The 23,489-nt window shown below is 34.7% G+C and overlaps 1 protein-coding gene across 64 annotated transcripts in view; it reads right to left on the bottom strand.

The window, feature by feature from the left end:
• Positions 1-23,489, bottom strand: part of ADGRL2 (adhesion G protein-coupled receptor L2) — a 687,801-nt gene that overhangs the window by 153,879 nt on the left and 510,433 nt on the right. For all 64 annotated transcript variants that reach the window (NR_171658.1, XM_047416152.1, XM_047416118.1 and 61 more), the window contains one exon: positions 2,997-3,169. Coding sequence is in view for 63 of the 64 variants with exons in the window: in XM_047416152.1 (XP_047272108.1) it covers positions 2,997-3,069 (73 nt within the window). In the remaining variant the exon portion in view is untranslated. The remainder of the gene's footprint in view (positions 1-2,996; positions 3,170-23,489) is intronic.

Raw genomic sequence — 23,489 nt, 5'->3', positions numbered from 1 at the left:
ATGGTTACAGCAGCACAACTGCAAAATCGTGGAACCAACCCAAATGCCCATCAATCAACGAGTGGATAAAGGAACTGTGATGTGTGTGTTGTGTGTATTTATATATATATTATATATATATATTCCATCATATATATATGATGGAAAATATATATATATATGATGGAAAATATATATATATGATGGAAAATATATATATATATGATGGAAAACATATATATATGATGGAAAACATATATATATGATGGAAAATATATATATATATGATGGAAAATATATATATATGATGAAAAAAATACATATATATATATGATGGAATACTACTCAGCCATAAAAAGGAATGAATTAACAGCATTTGCAGTGACCTGGATGAGACTGGAGACTATTATTCTAAGTGAAGTAACTCAGGAAGAGAAAACCAAACATCCCATGTTCTCACTGATATGTAGGAGCTAAGCTATGAGGACACAAAGGCATAAGAATAACACAATGGATTCTGGGGACTTGGGGGGAACAGTAGGAGTGGGACAAGGGATAAAAGACAACATATATGGTGCAGTGTATACTGCTCGGGTGATGGGTGCACCAGAATCTCAAAAATCACCACTAAAGAACTTATGTAATCAAATACCACCTGTGCCCAAATAACTTACGGGAAAATAAAAAATAAAATAAACAAAAAAAGAACCGTGCCTTATGCATTATTTTTCCTTGTGTATTTTTGAACCCTAAGCATGCAGCTCAATTTAATCACTCAATAAATGAGGAAAAAGGGAAGAAATCACTCAGGAAAACTTATCTGAGTTTACCTGCAAGAACCTAGAAACTGGTATAAAAAGAAGTATAAAAAGAACTAAACTGTGTAAGATGTTAAAAGGTTACAATCATGTAAGGGCCCAAAAGAAACTCAATAGCTGAAGGTTAAATTCATATCTGCCTTCCTATGCCTTCTTACCTAATGTTGATTGGCTTTCTCTATAGATGTTCACAGAGCATTATCTGCTTTCTGGCAATAAAGGACTATGATGTCATGTAAGACTTTCTAAGACAAACCCATGCAATACTAGATCAATGTTCTAACAGTGTGTATTAACTATGTATACTCTTACAATTAGCAGTTAGCAGTATGGGTTCGTCCCAGGTTCTTTTTACCCGTAGGAGGGAAGTGCTTCAGAAGCAATACCCCCTGGCCTGATGAGCCAAAAATGAAATTTCTCCTAACAGCAGATATGAATCCTGACCTGATAGATGACACTGAAAATAAAGCTGCAGTATCTCATGAAAAAACTCTCTGTTTGCTAGCCCCCCACTGAGTTAAGCTACTGTGCAAGCAAAGTGATCTCTAACTTGATTAGAAATTTTTTCATTATGTGGACTAATGAGCCATTGGTCCACACCTGGAATCTTTTTTAAATGTATAAAAACATTCAAACCTAACAGCAGGAATTCAGTTAGGTTTTCTTCCCCAAAAACGAGATGTAAAATCATCAGACTACACACAAGATTTTCACAACAATCCAAGCCAGAAATTTATATTATTAAACACAATTCCTGTTCACTGTTTATGATAGTATTATTCATTCACACAGATTACATATGATGTTAGATATGATGCATCTTCAATTCTAAAGCAAAGAGCAATGTCATCTGAAAATAAAATATTAACCCAAAGATTGTAACTGCCAAGTGTGACTTAAATCCAAGTGAACACTATTTACTTTCTGAATACAGAAACTCTTATTTTAAGTATTTCTAAATTTGTTATTTATTTAAATTATATTACATCATATCAATATACTGAACGTAGGGGACTGGAGGGACAAGGAGAACATGATAAAATATAACTTTGGAACAAGCAATTCAAGTAAAATTCTTTCAGCAAAATTAAAACGTTAACATTTTGAAGCTTATTACACAGACAACGGAATAATACACTTCTATTAGTTGACAGTATGCCCCTTCTCCACCTATCATTTTAATAATCGGTATAAGTGAGATCACTTAAAAGTACATATAAAATCAATTTTTTAATTCTTAAACATTTTTTCAAGAATTGGAATTTTTTAAAATCCATTATAATTTATATGCATTTCTCAGAGATTTTATACCCTTCACAAACTTTACAAGATTAATACATTTTCGTGCCAATAACTGCCACTATCAACTAGCTATAAAATTTATACATCTTAGCTCCATATTAACTTCTAGCCTGCTCTAAAAAACACCTGCATGTGTGTTGTTTTCATGTGGAAATAATATTTAAGACTAAGAAAACAATGGATTCCAGAAATCTATATAGTTAATAAATGATGGTTCCAATTATTTCATTAGGCTTCAAAAGTATATTTATTTCTTTAAAAATCAGGTCTGTCTTGAAAAATACACTCATTACTATTCCTAGATTTTAAAAATGTTTAATGCAATAGTGCTTAAGAAAAATTCCACATCTATTTTTAAGTACAAAGAAATAGTTATATTTCTGCAAATTTAACATTACAAAGAATATACATATACACACACATATACAGCTAAAGATATAAACAACATAAAAAGATGAACTATTATTAAAATGTAAGTTTTCATAAAAGACTACATATTTTAACTTAGGAGTTTTAGAATTATGCACACACTTAAGCAAATGTAACTAAAGATGAAAATTTCCACAAAATACTTTCCACTTTACTAAAATAAATGTAGTGAATAAATGTAAAATGTATACCAAAACAGAGCTTTCATTTAGTTCCCTCGGGATTATTTAGAATGGTTATATTTCATAAATGCACGTAAAATATAAATTCACATATCTAGCACTTTCTATATCATATCTGTGTTATCAAAAGAACTCAACCACCTAATAAACAATTCAATATTCAGGAAATAATTTTAACACCTATTTTTAAAATAATAAACAAATATTCTAGGCACTTCCATATTAAGAAGATTGTATAGTTCAAGTTCTCCTGGATTTAAAAAACAAAATGTAAACTGGATCTTACCTTCTGTATTTGGTAAGAAGCTGATTACAATGATAAACCACAGACTTCGCATTCTGCAACCAGAAGACACCATTATTGATCCCTTTAAGTATTTTCTTTGTATTCCTTAATGAATCTAGTTATAAATGCCCAGCTTCATCAAAACCATCAGTCTGCATCATTGATCTTCATATCTGAAAAACAAACAAATCCATCACTTACTCTATGGTCTTTCTACATAACAAAACAATTCTCTCTCTCCGTTCCTCTCTCTCTCTCCTGAATATAAAACATATTTTGATTCTATGTCCACTATGGAAGCTGCTCCTATACACTGGATATCTGAATCTTACATTCTGAAAACAGTCAAAAGCCCAAAAAGGTTGACTGCCTTTTTGACAGTCAAATTGCCAAAATTTGTACATGGCAAAATAATGCCATATACAAAGGGATTCTGAAAATGCCACATTCCTAATCACCAAATCAAACTTATTTCCCTGACTGCTAGGTATTCATAGCCCCTATGGATCCAGTTCTCCAAACTGCAGAGTGTACAAAAACTTCAGGAGTATGACTTAGTATTTCTCGGCTTCTAGGATCACATGAGACCAGGTCATTTGCTGGGTTCTGTCCAAGTGTTTTACTTCTTTCTGAGGTCGTGTGAGGAATCACAGCAAACATTAGCCTTATAATGCACATAAAATGAAGGCATTTCCCAAATATATCCAGCCTCCTCATTTAGCCTCTGAGGGAAAGGAAATCACAAACTTTTCTGTTAAAGGAACATCTTACAGTTTCTTCATGTTCGTTTCCTATTATTTTATTCTACATAATACTCTTACACCAAGTTTTCTCCAGTTATCCTTAACCTGCTGCAACTAAAGAGTTTTACAAAGTGCAGCAGGGAGGGAACTCTTCCCTCCCTTTCTGAGGTTGCATACATAACTCAGTAAAACAAACTCATTACATCATTTCGATGCTGTCACTAAACCATAAAGAAAATTTAGAAAACAAAATTTTCCTGATAACTTTTGAGTTCTTGCACATTATCTGACCTACTGTGCATTTACTACATGCTTCATGTAGCTTATCACACGGGATGCTATTAGCAGTACACTACATTCTACTATCAGTTCATTATAATGTAACCTGATTGGAAAAGCAGGCAGATGTTAAATGGTTTGAAACACTTATTACCTATAAAGGTACTATCTTGCTTTATTAAGAACACAACAAAAATAATGTAAGAAATTAATCTGAAATCATTCAGGCCCACAGTTTCAGAGATGTAAATGCTTCCCTAAGGATCCCTCTATGACCCAGAATTGGCCCAAGTTTTAGCTCTCTCTCTGAAAGCACTGAAGACACAGGGGAGAGGGAGGCATCACCAACATCAGTATTATGCCATTTAAGAACACCTCAGATGCTTATCTGTCCAAAGAAACAAAGGAAAATGCAAACTTCCTCAAAAAGAATGATGTATCCAAAATTAATCTGATGGAGACACATGGCACGCATCCCTGCAAAACTAGCTGGCTGGCTCTGTACATTTTTCACTCTGAGCTCCCATAGACTATTCAAAGGTAACCAAAACCAAAAGTGAACCTGCAGTTTACAACTGCTGTAGCAATGTGCCTGCCTTAAACCTGAAAGTTATTCTACATAAAGCATTTTAAAAAGTCAGATAATCTCATGGCTTGTCACATTTAAAAGGCCATCAATGAACAATTTCTTATATTCTTACAGTCTGTTCGATGATCTGATCAAGCAATCAGAATAATGTAAACGCGTGGATGAAGTGCTGCAAGTAAAATTAAGTCAGCCTTTGGACCACTCTAGATTCCAAGCAAAGAATTTTTACTGTCCAAGTTTTCATTGTTTGATTTGAATGAGCTAGTGCCTACAGGCAGCTTGCCCACATGCTCAACTCTTGCACACGTTTCCACTTTCTTAAAGTGATCCAAGATCAGTCTGTCTTCAGTCATCCACTATTCAAAGAGCCCTTGTTTGTGGGAAGGAGGAGGAAGGAAGAAATCAGGGACTGATGACTGCTTTGTAGGAAACAGCTGCCAAGATAGGAAAACCTCTGTTCGTGAAGGGAAAAAGGAGGAGGAAACCACACAATCAAGACCTCTATTGTGGTCTTTGGCCAGGAAAGAATATCTTATGAAAATTTTTATATACTAAAAATTCAGTGTATTCTGAAGGTTTGAGAATGTGAAACACAATTTTAAAAATACATATCATTCAATTATGAGACCATGTAAGTGGTTGTTTCTGACAAATGGAAACAGGTTCTAGAATGTATAAAATCATGGCTTCTTTTACAAAAATAAAGCTTAAGTCAATCTGCCTGTGTAATGAATAAGTAAAAAAAAAAGTCAAATTTATTTTTATCATTCTACAACCTGTGCCCAATCGCTTTTACATCAAATAAAATTATTTCCAAAACCTCAAGCTTTAAGTGCAATTTGGAAACTAAATCAAAAGATTTTACTGCTGTGACCCAAGTTTTAAACAACCTTCCATTAAACAAATGTTAATGAAAGTTGAAATACCTAACAAACCACAATCAGCTAAGAATAGAACGAATAAATAATCAAATATCATGACACTAATCCCAAGAAGGCATTCCTTCTAAATCATATTGGAGCCAAACCACTGGCATAGATAACAGCTAACATTTGTCCTTCAAATTCTGTAACTGCAAAAAGCTCAATAACAGCATTTCACAAAGCAAAACAAAAACAAATAACAAAACCAGAAAAGGTCTATTAAATTTCCTTTCAACAAACAGAAAAGATTACTTCAAATGATTCCCACATTAATAACTTTCTTTTGATTTTTAGAAAACCTTTTTCCAAGAACATCAAAGAGCTTAGGATGAAGTGGGGGAGGAACTGGGAGGGTAGAGGTGTAGTGCATGGTGAAGCTCCTGGTAATGCTTGCTACGTAATAGTTCATTTCTTAGTAAAACAAGATACAACAGATTTCTACTTAAACTATAAATGACTATGACTTTCAAAAATCCAAACCACTTCTAACGTACAACCTACTCCCACCTCTGCTTTTTCCTTATCCTTCAAATAAGATTCAAACAATTTCATCCTAATCTTGTTCCTATAAACCACAAACCATTGTCTACCAAACCTCTGTCATTTTTTTTGATCTAAGTATCCTATTACCCTGTCATGTAAAAAGTCCGTTAATGCATCATTACTATCAAACCTTCCAAAGCTGAGCAGTAACTTCCAGGAATATGCTTCAGCTGTGTATATCCCAACAGCCCTCAACGTTTTATACACTACGTGCAATGTACAGTCAGCTGCAGTCTTTCAGACAGTAACCTGCTTCCATTTATTAGCTGCATTAAATATCCCGCGCCTAAAACTGTCCGCAAAATTACTTAAAAGGACAACACCGCTAACTAATTTTAAGTCACATATTTACATTACATTACCAGGAAATCACACCTAGCCTTATTATGTGATGAGGCTTATTTAACAAATGTAGAAAAAATAAAATGTTTATTAATAAGCATCACTGAAAGAGAGTATAACACATTTCAAATTAATAAGGGCAAAAGAAAATTAAACTACAATTTTCTAAAACTGGTTAACTAATGTTGATATTCCACCAGGAGCAAAGCCACCATAAGGAGTTCTATCTAAAGCTTTATTTTTGGTTTCTACTCATGGACAGTGAACTACTGCAAACACTGGCTATTAAGCCCAAAACAGTTATAACATGAAGAGAACAGGAAAAGAAAAGAGCCAGCTAAGCATGAGAACTACCAAAGTCACCCATCCTTGTTATTATGCACTAATGCTGTGTAAAATGAAACATTAATGTTTTAGGTAAGCCTAAATTCTATGTACTAAATACATGTCAACTCTAAATGAAAACTGAAGTTAGCTTTACAAAATCAGTCTCAGATCTTATTTGCATCATAAAATTATAATCATTATGAGACAGAATTTACTAACAAGAGCCGCTTTTCTGTATTTTACCAAAACAAACAAACACAAAAAAGGATGACACTAACCCAATTCTGCCTTTTCATTTTCTGTGCAAAGGCTCAGAAAATGAAAAAATAAATTATAGTTTTATTTCACTTTAGCTGAACCTCAATCAGGTTATTCACTTTTCAGAAATATTTTATGTGTAATCTTTACAGACTAGATTTCCCCTTCTTAACATCAGAGAACACATCATTACCCCTGGGAGTTTTCCTTCAGTAAGTCAGCTAAGCAAACCCTTGCTATCCCTAATCAGAAAGGCTTTCTTAGAAGCTTCAGACATTCAGCATTCTTTGAGGTTTGAGTTTATTTTCTTTTCTTCACATGGATAGGGCTGGGGCTGGCAATGCTCACAGAGATTTTAAAACCACGTGGCCAGCCACTAGTCACCACCCTCTTTCTTCATTTTCTTTCTGCAGGCACTGCTATCAAGTCTAGAGGACATTAATTAAACTATTTATACAGAAGTCCCCTTAATATTCATCACTGGTCTTACCCTTTACTAAAATTTCTTCGTTTCGCAGACATAGTAGACACTCAGGAAATATTTCTAGTCATGGTACTTGTAATTCAATTCAAAAAAACTGCCTGAGGACTCTAGACTATTAGAAAGTTCAGGCCGGGCAAGGTGGCTCACTCCTGTAATCCCAGAACTTTGGGAGGCCAAGGCAGGTGGATCACGAGGTCAGGAGTTCGAGACCAGCCTGACCAACATGGTGAAACCCCGTCTCTACTAAAAATACACAAAAAATTAGCTGGACATGGTGGTGCATGCCTGTAATCCCAGCTACACAGGAGGCTAAGGAAGGAGAATTGCTTGAACCCGAGAGGTGGAGGTTGCAGTGAGCCGAGATCGTGCCGCTGCACTCCAGCCTGGGTGACACAGTGAGACTCCATATCAAAAAGAAGAAAAGAAAGTTCGGAGGAAATACAATGTCTTAAAATTGGAGAGGACTGCCATTTAAAAATAACTTTTTATTTACCTCAAATTGGGAAAAAGCTAACTTCTGTGTTGTCTGAAATACTGTAAGATACATATCACTAATCCTTACCAAAAAAGCAAGATCAGTATTATAAAGGTCAGAAATCTGAGGCTCCGAGAGGTAAAATAACTCAACTGAAATTACTCAGCTAATAAGCAGCAGAGCTTAGATCCCAATCAAGGCTATCTACAAAGCCATTCTTTCCACTATTCACCAAATTATTCCTTCAACAAATATTTACTGAGCACCTATTACATATGTTGTGTACTGAGGAAAAAAAGAAACAAAATTTCTCATCCACAGGGAGATTACACTGTACTTTAAAAATAACTCGTCCTAGTAAAAACCTGTAACTGCCTTGCACACAGTTAGGCTCCCAAAAAAATTACAGCTAAACTAGGTAGATAACAGTGTGCTTACTCTTCCATGCAATTTTCCCAACAACCTTAAGAAATATATCCATTTTATCTTAAAAGCAGAAAACTTAACCTACTCAAGGAAAGTAAGCAAGCAGAAGGGCTGAGAAATAAGCCCATGTTCTAAAATCACTACTGTTACTAATTATGTAGACCAGATAACCTTATTTTACTATCTTTTCCTTTAGAATAAAAAAATGAATACAGAACAAAATCATCTTGAGATACAAAAGTGAGGAAACACCAAAAGAATAGCGAGTTGATTTTTAAAATGTTTACATGAGCTAAACATCCCTTAGGTAATAACAGCTAAATATTAACTTAATTTTTACTATTTCCAGTTGAGCTATCCTAATTTACTCATTTATATTACTAAAGTGCCTAAATTATATAACTAATTACACTGATAAATTTTATCAACCAAACTACTAGAGAAGTTGTTCATAGTAAGTCCAAAGAATAAATACATAAATATTTCCTCCAATATAACTAGCAATGTATCTTTAATAGTCATGGAACAAAGGTTTTAATATTAACATCTACAAGATTATGGACTAATCATCATTCGGGTAAGTATAACAGAAAAAACTCAACGTGGCTCACTCATAAGATGCAATCTTATGTTTGGCTCACTGCACTGGATCCTTTGTTCATAAATCACCGTTACTGGCCATTCCCCGAATCAATATTCAAATTCCCTCTTGGTCTATATATACAACCACTAAATGAAATAATAATGACCCAGGATCTGTCATATATTAGATCATCAATATCACCATCAGAGGTTTCTTAGAGGTAATGAGGTAATCTGAGTAAAATACATCAAATGATCTTAAAAATAAATATGAAAAATTGGCCAGGCGCGGTGGCTCACGCCTGTAATCCCAGCACTTTGGGAGGCAGAGGCGGGTGGATCACCTGAGGTCAGGAGTTCGAGACCAGCCTGGCCAATGTGGCGAAACCCCGTCTCTACTAAAATACAAAAATTTGCCAGGCGTGGTGGCGGGCACTTGTAATCCCAGCTACTCAGGAGGCTGAGGCAGGAGAATCGCTTGAACCCGGAAGGTGGAGGTTGCAGTGAGCAGAGATGAGGCCACTGCACTCCAGCCCAGGAGACAGAGCGAGACTCCATCTCAAAAAAATAAAATAAAATATAGATATATGTGAAAAATTAACTATAAAGAATACACAGTAAGAAGCTGAAGTTTTGTGAAGTGCTATAGCACATTGCCTTTGTAATTAAATGATACAATTCATTTGCAAACTATGTCAATATAGTGTTATCTAAACTTACATTTCTTGCCTTTAACATAAAGTAGATCACATTAGCACTATACTTTCATGTATGTCCAGTCAAGTCAATGAATATCCAGTGAGTACTTCCTACACATTTTTAATGGATATCCAGTGCTAAAACGAGTGTTATTCATTAATTTTTTTTACCTTCTGTATTAACTGGTCCTGTGTTAGGTTCTAAAGGCATTATAAAACAGATTAAGATATAGCTGCCACCTTCAAGAAATTAATAATCTTATGAGAATTAAATATGCAAGAAAATGACCAAGATCCAAAATAAGCATTAAATAATAATTACTAAACCTCCCAAAACTTAATGGTAGTAAATGTGATGAGAAGCTAAGAGAAGTAACTAACAGCAGTTTCTGGATCTGTGTTTCCTTGAGACGTGTACCTAGATCAATCAGTCATCTTAATGAAGAGGTCAAGATCCAGATCAAGTGCACACTATAGAATCGTGGCTCAACCTGCCCCTACAAGGACTGCAGTAGCAAGCATCTAGGTCTCAAGTTCAGCAACTATATAAGGGTAGGAAGAGATTATAAATCTATGATTCAATCATTTTCCAATTTTCCCAATGATAAATTTATGGTCCTGATTCTACCTTAAGTAATGTTAAGGAAGCCATCTGGGGGCTTCTGCAATATGTTTAACTAAGGACTTGTCTCTTCTATCAAAATATGTCTCGGCAATTATTCTAATTCATATCTTAAAAAGAAGCAACTGTTTCAGAAAATCTTTGTTTTTGAAATCTACTTATAGATTATTATATTGACAGGAATATTATAATAACCTGAAGCATTTAGCTCACATATTTCACACTCTGCCTTCCTGGGAAAACTACAGATAACGAAAATTCAAAACAACATCAGGGACTTCTTTAAGAAAGAACAAGTTTCTATGCCTTAGCTGGGGTTAGTCCCGATTATGCCAAATGTTCCATACCATTTATATCTGTGTCTACAAGTAAAACTCAAAACAAAAGGATTTTCTTGAGTTGTACAGAAAAGGAATATACCAATTATTTCTAAATAATTAACTTAATTAATAGTACTAAAGATAAAGCTAGAGTCTAAGTGAATGAACAGAATAGATTCTTTGGCTTCCCATGTCAGCCTGAAACTCTGTGTTTGGTGTAGCTGATTCCTCTAAGAATATTAGGAGATGTATCACACCTGTAATCTCAGCACTTTGGGAGGCCAAGGCAGGTGGATTGCCTGAGGTCAGGAGTTCGAGACCAGCTTGGCCAATGCGGTGAAACCCCGTCTCTACTAAAAACACAAAAATTAGCCAGGCATGGTGGCAGGCGCCTGTAATCCCAGCTACTCGGGAGGCTGAGGCAGGAGAATTGCTTAAACCCAGGAGGAGGAGGTTGCAGTGAGCCAAGATAGCGCCACTGCACTCTAGCCCAGGCAACAAGAGCAAGACTTCGTCCCAAAAAAAATGAAAAAAAAAAATATGAGGAGATTTAGATGAGACGGTAAGAAAAATATTCATGGACACACCTATTAAGAAACAGTAACAGACTGTGTCATTTTGAGTGGCTGTTAGGTATGAAAAAATTAAAAACCAAAAGGTCTTCCATTAAATTAAAATTTATGTTTTAGTGCTTCTTAACTACTCAAACATGGAGTAGGAGAGGTATGTGGTTTTTAGAAAAGAGCTTTTTCAACTTTAAAATATAATTTTATAACCTATTAAAATTTCAAATAACATTAAAGTAGTAATAAAGCAGTGACATTTAATAAAAAAGAAACATAGGTTATAAAAAGCAGAGAAAAATGACTAGAAGCTTGAATTACTTGCCAAGAGTCCTTCATGTGGTAACAGACTAATGTATTTTTGCAACATTTTAATGGTTTTTAAAATGTTTCAATTCAGAAAACTTTCAGGAAAAATATCACTTATTATTGCTACTCCACATATAAAGAAAAGCAAAAATCTGCTTAAAAAAAAACATTTCCAATGATGATAAAAACTACTGAATTTTCCAATCTCTTGAGCTTAAAATTATCAATTATATTCCACTACATTTGTAAGGATTAGAACCAACATTTTATGCAGATTGAGACAGTCAGATCAGAAGTTAGGTAACTCTTTCTATGGAGGACCAGACAGAAAATATTTTAGGCTTTAAGAGTGATATGGTCTGTGCCATAACTATGTATGTCTGCCACTGTAGTGTGAAAGGTGCCACAGGCAATGCATACCGAAATGACATTGGCTGTGTGCCAATACAACTTTACTTACAAAACTGATGGCTAGCCATAGTTTGCCCAACCCCTGTTTATAGATGAACAATCCTAAGACCAAGATAACTGGATGCAGTTCAGTCACATAATGAACTAATAACTATTCATGTCTGCCAAAATAATCAAATCAACTTTAGTCTATTATTTTAAGAAATTAATTTAAATGTTAATGTAAAGGTAAATTAACCATACTAGAATAAGAAAAACAAAGTAGCATTATTTACTGATCAAAACAAATTAGAGTTTCAGGCCAGGTGCAGTGGCTCACACCTGTAATCCTAGCACTTTGGGAGTCCGAGGCCGGTGGATTGGCTGAGGTCAGGAGTTCGAGACCAGCCTGGACAACTTGGTGAAATCCCATCTCTACTAAAAATGCAAAAATTAGCCAGGCGTGGTGGCACCACCTGTAATCCCAGCTACCCTGGAGGCTGAGGCAAGAGAAATGCTTGAAGTGGGGAGGCTGAGGGTGTAGTGCGCCAAGATCGCACCACTGCAATCCAGCCCAGGTGACGAAGAGAGATTCTATCTCAAAAAAAACAATTCGTGTTTTCAGTGTGTGTATAACAGAGCCATATGTATACCTTAGAGTGTTCGGGGAGAAATTCTAGAAAAGAAAACAAAGGACATTACCACAGTAACTTATCTTACTACTTTGTTTGGCATGAGAGTATATAAAACCAATCAAAATAGTAAATAACGGGAGAATGAAAAGTGATGAGGTTTGGACAAGACCCCTGAGGTATTCTTCCATTAGCATGATGGTTTCGAAGAGCTGCTGGTAAAAGTGGCTTCAAACTCTTGAAATTCCTGTCACCATAGCTACTTATCCATATGAAATACTGGATATATCCCAGATCCACATTACATTCAACAAGTAAATGCTAAATTCTAATTTGCTAAGTTTCTTGTATAATGCTAAAAGTTCCACAAGGCCAACATCACCAATCTTATTCCAAATAATTATGAAGTCACAATAAATGCAAACATTTCTTTGAAACATATATTTAGAGCTTTCCAATTCCCTATATGCGGACTCCCCTCAATGAAAATATCCTGATTGTTATTATTACAGTAAATATTTTTTATTTTTCATAAGTCTACTGTTCCTTAAAATTTAAGTCAAACTATAACATATCATTCGTAAAAGTAACATTTTTAACCTACAATTAACAAGTATCACACTGAAATAAATCAAGGCTAAATTTTTCTATCAACATTATATATATAAGACAAAAGAGTGGAGAAGGTTACAAATTTTTAATAACATTATATTATGGTAGTAATAATCTAGGTGTTTGACTGGAAGTGAAGTGGATTACTGTAAATGAAATTTTAAAATGTCCTTTCCATTTTACAGATAACACAAAATGACTTTTTTCATGTCTCTGGCGATAAGGATAAATTTGCCACACATTTAAATGGTGCCTTCACCCTTCCCATCCTGGCTCATGAATTAATAATTCAGTGACATTAATACAAGAAGATAAATGATAAAAAGGTTAAGGCGAAGGGCCAACCATACACACATACTTCTTTTAGCACAGTTAATACTTCTCTGCCAAATTATAGCTAAATCTTTTTAACAGTTTTCAGTAGCATTTTTACAGTCTAAGTTGCAGCTTATGCACACACAATTTCACACAATTCAGGCTTAATAAATCTCCTGCTGGTACCAGTCATTCTAGGGGATTAAAGTGCAACATCTGTTAATATTAATAATGTTTTATATAGTCATATGTATTAAAGAAGCCTCTACTCCATTATTAGTCTCCTGAAAAACCTTCTAGACCAATATACTAATTTAGCATGAATTATACATATAACCTTCAATTGCTAACTTATAATAACAAAGAAATGCATTAGTGTGAAATGGTAAAAGAAAATCACATCTACTATGAAGTAACAGATTTTCTTTAAACCAAGCTTACTAAATATATATGTGCATGTATGCATGGATACACACACAAACAAATGAAATTAGCCTAGTCTCCAATAGTTTTGAAACCAAAAATCCTCTGGAGCATTATTCATCTTAAGTTTGGGTAAAATATAGCTCTGTCAATACAAAAGGTACTTCATTTTAAAGAGGTACACATTCACTGTTCTATTGATTCTTACCCTGAAATACCTTAATCCTCTTCCCATTGCTTTCAATCCCTCTGTCCTAACATCTTTCTTTCTGAACATCTGCAAAAATCTCAAAGCTGATTTATCACCTTCCATCCATCTTGCCAGCCTCTAGTAATCTTCCTAATTTCACCCTAAACCATAAATGTGTATAAAACTGGAACAAACTCTAAAAATAATTTTACATGGAAGAACACAGTTGGGGTTCTGACTTGACAAAGGTTGATCTCAGAAATGTTTCTAAAATGTCTCCAAAAGTACATGTATTATTATTTCACTCTAACTTAGCACAACAAATCTAGTATGTCTTTTTTTTTTTTTTTTTTTTGGAGACAGGGTCTGGCCAGGTGCGGTGACTCATGCCTGTAATCCCAGCACTTTGGGAGGCCAAGATGGGCAGATCACAAGGTAAGGAGAGATCGAGACCATCTTGGCCAAGATGGTGAAATCCCGTCTCTACTAAAATACAAAAAATTAGGCATGGTGGCGTATGCCTGCAATCTTAGCCACTTGGGAGGCTGAGGCAGGGGAATCACTTGAACCTGGGAGGTGGAGGTTGCAGTGAGATGAGATTGCGCCACTGCACTCCAGCCTGGCAACAGAGCAAGACTCCATCTCAAAAAAAAGAGAGCGTCTTGCTCTGCTGCTCAGCTAAGAGTGCAATGGCACGACCATAGCTCAATGCAGCCTTAAACTCTTGACTCAAGCAATCCTCCCACATCAGCCTCCTGAGAGTGGGGACCACAGACATACCCACTACAACAAAAAAAAATTTTTATTTCTTTATTTTTGATTTTTAGTATTTCATAGAAACAGGACTCTAAGTTGTCCAGGCTTGTCTAGAACTCCTGACCTCAAGTTATCCTCCCGCCTTGGCCTCCCAAACTGCTGGTGTTACAGGCTTGAGCCACTGCGCCCAGCCCTATTGTATGTATTTTAACAACAAGAAAGTTGCAACTGGGGCTGGAATGAAAGGGGAATGGTAATTGAAAATCTGAAAGACAGAGAGAGAGAGAGAGAGAGAGAGAGAGAGAGAGGAGAATTAAAAAGCAAAACTGGAAACGGCGCCCAAACAGATCAAACTTCAAAAATACTTAATTCAGCACTGTTTCTGTCAAACTTACTTGCTCAATATTTCTGAATATACCTCTGAAACTGACTTTTACTCAAGATTTTTTATTCACATAGAAAACATCTTTCCCCTCCACCTAATAAACTTCAGAATAAACTTGATAGTTTAAAAACCACCTGTGCCATAAAGCCAACCTTACTGCCTCAAACTGAAAAATAACCTCTCCCTCTCCAGATTCTTACTGCCATTATCTGTTGTCATTTGTACAGTAGTTGCTATTGGGTTATCTTGAGTCCTCTTCAATTAAGCTTTTAAACTAGTTTTAAAATGTCTTTTGCAGCCAGGTGCAGTGGCTCATGCCTGTAAATCCCAGCAATTTGGGGAGCCAAGGCAGGAGGATGGCTTGAGCCCAGGAGTTCAAGTTCAGTCTAGGCAAATTAAGAGACTCCATCTCTACAAAAAATTAAAAAAAATAGCTGGGCATGGTGGCATGTGCCTGTAGTTCCAGCTTCTTGGGAGGCTGAGATGGAAGGATCGCTTGAGCCCAGGAGTTCCACGCTACAGTGAGCTATGATCAGGCCACTGTACTCCAGCCTGGACAACAAAGAGAAAGACCTTGTCTATAAATAAATGAATAAATAAAATGTCTTTTATTGAAATTTTCTATGTTTATCTTTCTTCAAGATAAATCTTTTCAAACCAAGCCTAAAAAATTTTTTGGGTACATACTTTGTTCAAGGCACTGAGGCTTAAACTGCAAGTAATACAATGATTCAGAAGATACAGAAATGACACAAATGCACAAGTAATGTCACGAATTTATGTAATGTAATTAAGAGAGTAAGTGCTCCTTATGGACCATGACTTTCGCTTATCACTTTGTGATTCTGATGACTAGTATAATATCCTGGTAATTAAAAAAACACATCAAATATATTAACAAACTTTCTGGAAAATATTTAAATTTTTGAAATATTTATTTTTTAGCAAATATATCTACACTTGAGGAAGACCATCCTTTTTTAACTTCGTGGTTTTCTTTTTTAAATATTATTTAATTTGCTCTTATGTTCTTGGGTCATAGAAGCTTACTCTCACTTCTATACCTTTCTTGGTATAGTTATACTGTTCCTTCTGCCTGGAATCTCCTCTGCCACTTGTCCCTTGGCTAACTACTGTTCCTTTTCCAAGACTCAGTTGGGTCCATCACTTGACTGTCTAACTGACTGGTTCCCTAAACCTCCACCACACATCAGGGGTACAGTGTCATTTTTGTCCATAGTACAGAGTGCTCATCCCTATCACAATGTAACATTTTCAAAAGATGGTGAGCTAACTGAACACAGTTATGATGAAAGATGGCTTTCATGTCTATCACTTCAGTGCTACCTTACCAGTGAGTATAACCCATGCATAGTGCCTGACAAAGAGCTAGCACATAATAAATGTTTTTGACAATAAGAAACATAGGAGGGAGAGAGGGACAGAGGTAGGGGGAAGGAGGGAGACAGGAAGAGGGGGAGGGAAGGAAAGAGGGAGGGGGGAGGGAAGGAAGGAGGGAAGGAGGGAGGGAAGAAGGAAGGAAGGAAGGAGAGAAAAAACGGGAAGGAGAGAGGAAGGGAGGCAGGCATGAATAAATGAACTGAATTACGGAAACTAACATGAATAGTGGAAAGAATAAAGCAAAGTGGATGGAATTCAGAAACTCGTGTGAAACAGAATTTTTTAAAACTGGAAACTTTCATCTTTGCTTGTTGGTGTAAGAAAGTTAAATTAAAAAAAAAAAACTGGGAACTAACTCGGAGACCTCCTAAATAGAGATTTTCAAGATTTTTTTCTATGCCAGACTATTTTTTAATTAAACACTTAAATATTAAAGAGTGTCAATCTATAAGGCAGAAAACAAAAATGACTACTTCTTCTGGAAGTTTTAATTTATCATTGTTTGACATACAATACCTTATCATTTTCATCATTAAACCCCTCAAGAAAGAGTTTTTAAAACCAGAGTCTCCTCATTATAAAAATGAAGAAATAGAAAGGCCCATAATTACTGCAGAAACAAAATCTGCAACTCAGGCCCAAATCCAGTAGAATAATTCCTCCATGAAGTTTAGGAATTTAATAGTATCTACAAAAACAATTTATAATAATTTCAAACTTATCTCAAAATGTGAAATTATATGAAACTATATTAAATATACTTGCTAATTTTGCTATTAAATAAAAACTGTGTTACAAAGTGTGGTGGCGCAGGCCTATAGCCCTAGATACTCAAGAGGCAGAGGCGGGAGGATAGCTAGAGCCTAGAAGTCTGAGGCTGCAGTGAGCTATGACTGTACCACTGCACTATAGCCTAGATGACCGAGCAAGACCTCATATTAAAAAGAAGTAAAAATAAATAAAATTTTAAAAATAAAAATAAAACCCAGGGATTATATAAATGTACAAATTGGACATTTTCAAAGTACACTAAAAATATTAGAATTTTAATATTAAAATATAAAAATTAAATTATAAATCAAAATATAAAAATTAAAGATTTTTTTCTTGCACAACTTCTTAACAAGGTAGCCTTCCACATCTACATATTTCCCTAGCAATATTCTGAACTTGAGAAAACATTGTTTCCATCAGCAATATCCTCTTAACAGTGATTTTTTTCTGATAGCGGGAAACATGTGTAGAAAACACTTTTATCATCTTTCAAAACAAAGAATGTAAAAATTAAAATCATATTTTTTTTTCTCCTCCAAAATTATAAGACAGACAACGGCACTCCAGTTCAACAGCCAATTGTGGGCTATCTCACCTCTATACGAAAAACTAATACATTCCACACTGGGAATTAAACTTCAGCTATGCTTTGCAAAAAAAAAAAAAAAGTTTCTGATATTACCTATAATGCACACAGCATTGCAGGTTATTTCTTTTTAGTATTAATGATTTACAGAGCCTACTGAAAAAAACATGGCTACTTTGAAATCCTAACTTGCCACCATTCCTCAAATCAGCATTTGCAACTTAATGGACTTTACAAATCAAACAACATTGACAATAAATCTCAGCAACTCATTTACAGAAAGATATCTGAATATTAACTGTGAAATTTAACATGCTTTAATAATTAGACTGTGTAAATAGTATATGTTTCTTTCCTAATTTGATAAGATGCACTTCTCATGTAATACTCCTCAAATTAAATATAAGAAATTGTTCCGGCATTTCACCAAATTAAAATCTTGAAACCCTACAGCTCGAATGTATGAATTTAGATTTTATTTCTACTTTAAATTAAACCATAGATATTATTCAGTTTCATATAATGCAATTTACAGTAGTCTTCTGCTGTGAATGCAAGAACACAATGATATTTTAATAAGATCTTAATACAAGTCACCAGAAGACATTTTGGAAGACAGATAACCAGCTCCTCCACCAAAGAAAAACTATCATTTCACCATTAAAAGATAAACATAATCCACCTGTGGTATGTAATGACCCACTAAAGAAAGGAACTGTGGAGGAAGAGCTCCCTGCATATCAGAAAATGTCTCTAATGCTAAAAATTTGGGCCGCCTTTGCTGAAAATTTATACAAAATATTAAATGCTATTGCTTCACTTAGGTTGCTAAGTAACTAGATGGTTACACAGCCTGGTAATAGTTTGACAATGGACTTGTTAAGATTGTCAAAACTTTCTTTACGTATTTTATCTTATAAACATTAAAAATGTCTTTTTAAGGATGTCATATTTTTAGTTTCCTTAACTAGTTAAATAAAATTCACAACTACAGTATTGACAACCATATTTAATTAACTTCCCTTTATTTCATGCTGATTACCTTATGCATAGCTATGTCTTCGGCATGACTGATCCTTTCATAAAAAAGCAGCAAGCCATCACACACCAGGACAATTCTGACAAGGATCCTCTACTGACTTCCTCTTAAAGCTGTTAATACATGGGCGGATCCTAATGCTTGGCATGATTTGGGGGCAGGGATTATAGGCCATGGAGAACTACAAAAGATTCCTACTTGCATGTTTTCTGTGTGGTTATTTCACCAGGCATCAGATTATAAAAGTAAAACAAGGAAAAACTACTGATCTTTTTTACATAATTGCCCAGTGAAAGTGTAAGCAGAATATTGTGGGGTTTTTTGTTTTTTTTTTTCAGACAGACAGGTCAACATCAACACTTCCTGTTCTCAATATCAGAACATCAATTTTGATAAAAACCAGTCAGCTTGCTACTGATTTATCATCTAAGGAAGGTAGCAACAATAATAGAAAATTCTCTAATTTAAAAAATAGAAAATCTTGAGCAGCATTGAAAAAAAGAAGAGTCTTCCCCCCAAAAAATGAGAGAAAAAAAATCTGAAGAGTGAAAACGGATACCAAAAGGGCCACTTAAATATGTGAACTAATATTCAGATTTAATTTACACCAATAATGACAACAATAAGCATTTACTGAGAGTTTCCATGTATGAAGCTTTATTAAGCACTGTAACTGCATCACAAAAAATTTTCTCTACTATATGGAAGCAAGAATACTTTCGGATTAGGACACACAACTCAGTGTTATAACACTTTAATTGTAACTCTTATCATTCTTATATCCATGCAAGGAATCTATAACTGGTTAGGTTCCAGCACAATTTGTGATCTTCATTATAATCGATGATAAGCATTTATTCAAAAAATACATTGAGAGCCTACTCTGAGTTAATCACTGATGGATAGGTGCTGATAGATGCTTTGGGTTGTTGTTCAGGGTTGTCACCCATAATTAACATGATACAAAGTATCAGCTATAAAACCTAAGAACTATTGCTGGGTATGAAGAGCTGAAAAGCTATTGAGGAAATGATTGTTACTCTTTTAAAGAACAGGTGAAGCAGGGAAATTTCCCCACGTACCAATAAAATAAATATATAATATTAGAAGTTCATGGTAACAAAAGAGAAAGCTGCAGTGAAGATAAATTGCAATGAAATTTTTTAAATCTTCGAGGGCACAGATATCCCTAAGCTTTCTGAAAAGGGGCAGGCTGGTATCTAAGGAAACCAAAGAATATCAAATTACTTGTTTAAAGAGCTGTTAAGAATGTTACTAAAATGGCCCTGAACAATGAAGAGTATCTCAACAGGTCTAATAATGACAAAAGTATTCTTTAGCAAAATAAAGATTTCTAACCAGATTACGATAGCTTTTATACAGTCTTGATTACCTACTAGAAATCTCATCTAAAATACAAATAAAAACCTAGATCATGTAGCCTGAATATCGCATAATAAAAATTTTCACTTTATGTGAGTATTTAAAAAAAATTAGTATCACTTAAACATATGCAGTGTAAAAACATATGCAGGTATACACTCGAAAACATTTAAAAACATTTAAAAGGAAGAAAAAATATATTTTTTTTACAAATACCACATTTAAAAATATACATACCAACAAAGCATCAACCTTCTCAGCAGCTGGTACTTTGGACTTTTAACACATGCATCTCAAAGTATCATCAGAAAATGGGCTCATTCCTTCTCCCTTCCACTAAAGCAGGCTAATGGAATACATAAAAGACTTGGCTGGAACCTTGGTTCTGGGCTTTGATTCTTTGCTCCTCCTTTACCTCGCATTCAATCAAATGCCAAATTCTAACCCACCATTACAAAACTTCTCATATCTGTCTACTGCCATTGCCTCTCACCAAGGACTGTCGTCCACCCCTTCTAATTAGGTTCCTATTTCTTTCATTAGTTCCCCACTCTAGTTCATTGGATACACCACCTTGAATGCTATCAAATAAGTATAACATGTTCTCAATTGAAAATATCAACAACATTTTGTGGCCTACAAGAGAATCTTAAAAGAGCAGGCTGTTCATAATCATGTCCCAAACTAACACACCCGTTTCATCTCCTACTTTCTGTACACTTCACATTCCCCCTAAGGCACTATATTTTTACCTTTCCTGTGCCTTTACCTCTGAACTTTTCTCCTCCTCAGAAAAGACTATATAGCCTACAATCCTCCTCTGCCTTCAGTTCTAAATAAATGGGGTCTCTTTTTCCATACCACTCATTTTGAATTTACTCTAACCTACCCTATATTTTTACAACCTTTTCTCTGCACTTCATTTTGGCATGATATCGTAGTATGACTTTTATAAGAATTATTTGTGCAAATATTTCACAACCTAGTGAACCTAGTGAGCACAGTCCTTACATAACAGTACAGTTTTCCTGGCATGGCCTTAATAAATGGCTGTTGATCTAAACAAAATTAATAGAATTAAGCCCAGAAGTAATGGCAAGGTAGATGTAATATGCTTATAAGTAGGATCGTTCTTGGAAAGAATAAAATACAATCAACATTTCAAAATACAGCCTTTAAGACCAATGCAAGCAAATGCGTATTTTTTGGTCTGGTAATTTTGGCAAACTCAGTACCAGAAGTTCTGTCAAATTTTTAAAACCACATGTGCTGCCACAATAACCTCTGTGGCAATGTAGGAAACCAAAAATTACATCTTGAATGTAAAATCCAAGACATTATAAATGCTGTGAATTATTAAAGTAAATCCAAGACCTTATCTGTAAAAAAAGGAAATAGCTGCTCTGAACTACAAAAGCATAACATACTTCAAGAGATTGTACCCACATATGAAATACCTGATTTTTGAAAGTTTAATATGATTGTGATTTTTATTTTAGTAAGACTCTCAAGAGGAATTTTTTTTTCTGAGAGGTCTGTTGCCCAGGTTGGAGTGTAGTAGCAAGATTGTAGCTCAATGCAGCCTCGTACTCATGGGCTCAAGCAATCCTCCCACTTCTCCTGAGTGGCTGGGGCTACAGGCACGCACCACCCCGCTGGCTATTTATTTATTTATTTTTTTAATTTCTGGTAGAAACGGGTCTTGCTATGTTACCCAGGCCGATCTCGAACTCCTGGCCTCAAGTTATCCTACCACTTCATCCTCTATGGCGCTGGGATTATAAGCATGAGACACCGCACTTGGCCAAAAGAAATCATTCACATAGCAAGAATTCTCTAGTGCTGTGCGTCTCAATAAAGTAATAAACTAGGAGTGAGAGGTAGATAACGGTAAAAATTGAATCATTCTGGCTTGGCAGTATCTTGTGGCCTTGGGAATGCACAACACAGAATGGGGACAAGGCCGCCAAAAAATCAAGATTTTACTCATTCAAATTTAACTTTATGATTTTTATTACACCCTATAAATAAAATGTTGGTTTAAGGAGTATTAGATTAATATAGTCTTGAATTCCAAAGACTGAAACATCTGCCTTTCAGCTAAACAACCAAATACATTATTAGATATTTGTACTATATTTTTAAAGACCCAGACAAATTTCTGATTTTTATACTAAGAATTGAGAACGATCTTCAATTTTTTAAAAAAATGTGTATTATTTACATATACTAACAAAAAGCTGCACTTTTCTAGATTTATTACCAAATTCATGATCTCTTGTGATGAAGAAGACTCAATAAAACTCAAATTCATAGAAAGGAAGCTGACTACTAAAGATAAGACTTAGCTTCTGATTTCCACCGAATTTTTATATTTTTCAATCTATTCATAAATCTTACCAAAAAAAAAAAATGGGACGGAAGGCCTACCTTTAAAGCTGTTTGTATGCCATCATTTCAAAAAATTTTAACTAGGAATTTGACACTTAAATTTTACCAATTTTTGATTGTATGCTACAATGATGAAAAATACTTAGACATACAGAATAGAAAAACAGACACTGGAGACTACAAAAGGTAGGAGCGTGGGAGAAGTGTGAGGGGTGAAAATTACTTAGAGGGTATAACGTTCATTTATTATGTGGATGATGGGTACACTACTATAAAGTACATGCATGTAAAAAGGCTGTGCTTGTACCCCCTAAATATACTTGAAAAAAAAAAAGCCCCAAAAAACTAAGAATTCAACATTCATGAGATACCATTAACAAAATAAAGGAAGAAAATGTTGAAGCTTTAATAAGTGCTTGGCAATACTGAATACTGAAGCTTATTAAGGACTTGGTAAAGTACATGTAATAAAGTTTTATTTTGTAGGTTGAATAAAAGTAGGCAAGCATAAAAAGAGCATTTGTAGGTTAAAATAAATGATAATCAGACAAAATATTAAAAGAATCTTTGGAAAGAGTTGAATAATGCCAAACATGAAAGTACTGTAAACATCTTTTTAACTATGGAGGGCTTAAATACACATTAAGTCACATGAAAACACTCCAAAGAACATCACCATATAATAATTCCACATTAAATAAAAAAACCTATACATTGATACTAATTACTAAAT

Source organism: Homo sapiens, chromosome 1 (assembly GCF_000001405.40).
Source record: "Homo sapiens chromosome 1, GRCh38.p14 Primary Assembly".
In the NCBI taxonomy this organism is placed as follows: Eukaryota; Metazoa; Chordata; class Mammalia; order Primates; family Hominidae; genus Homo; species Homo sapiens.
This window is presented reverse-complemented; position numbering and strand designations above follow the sequence as displayed.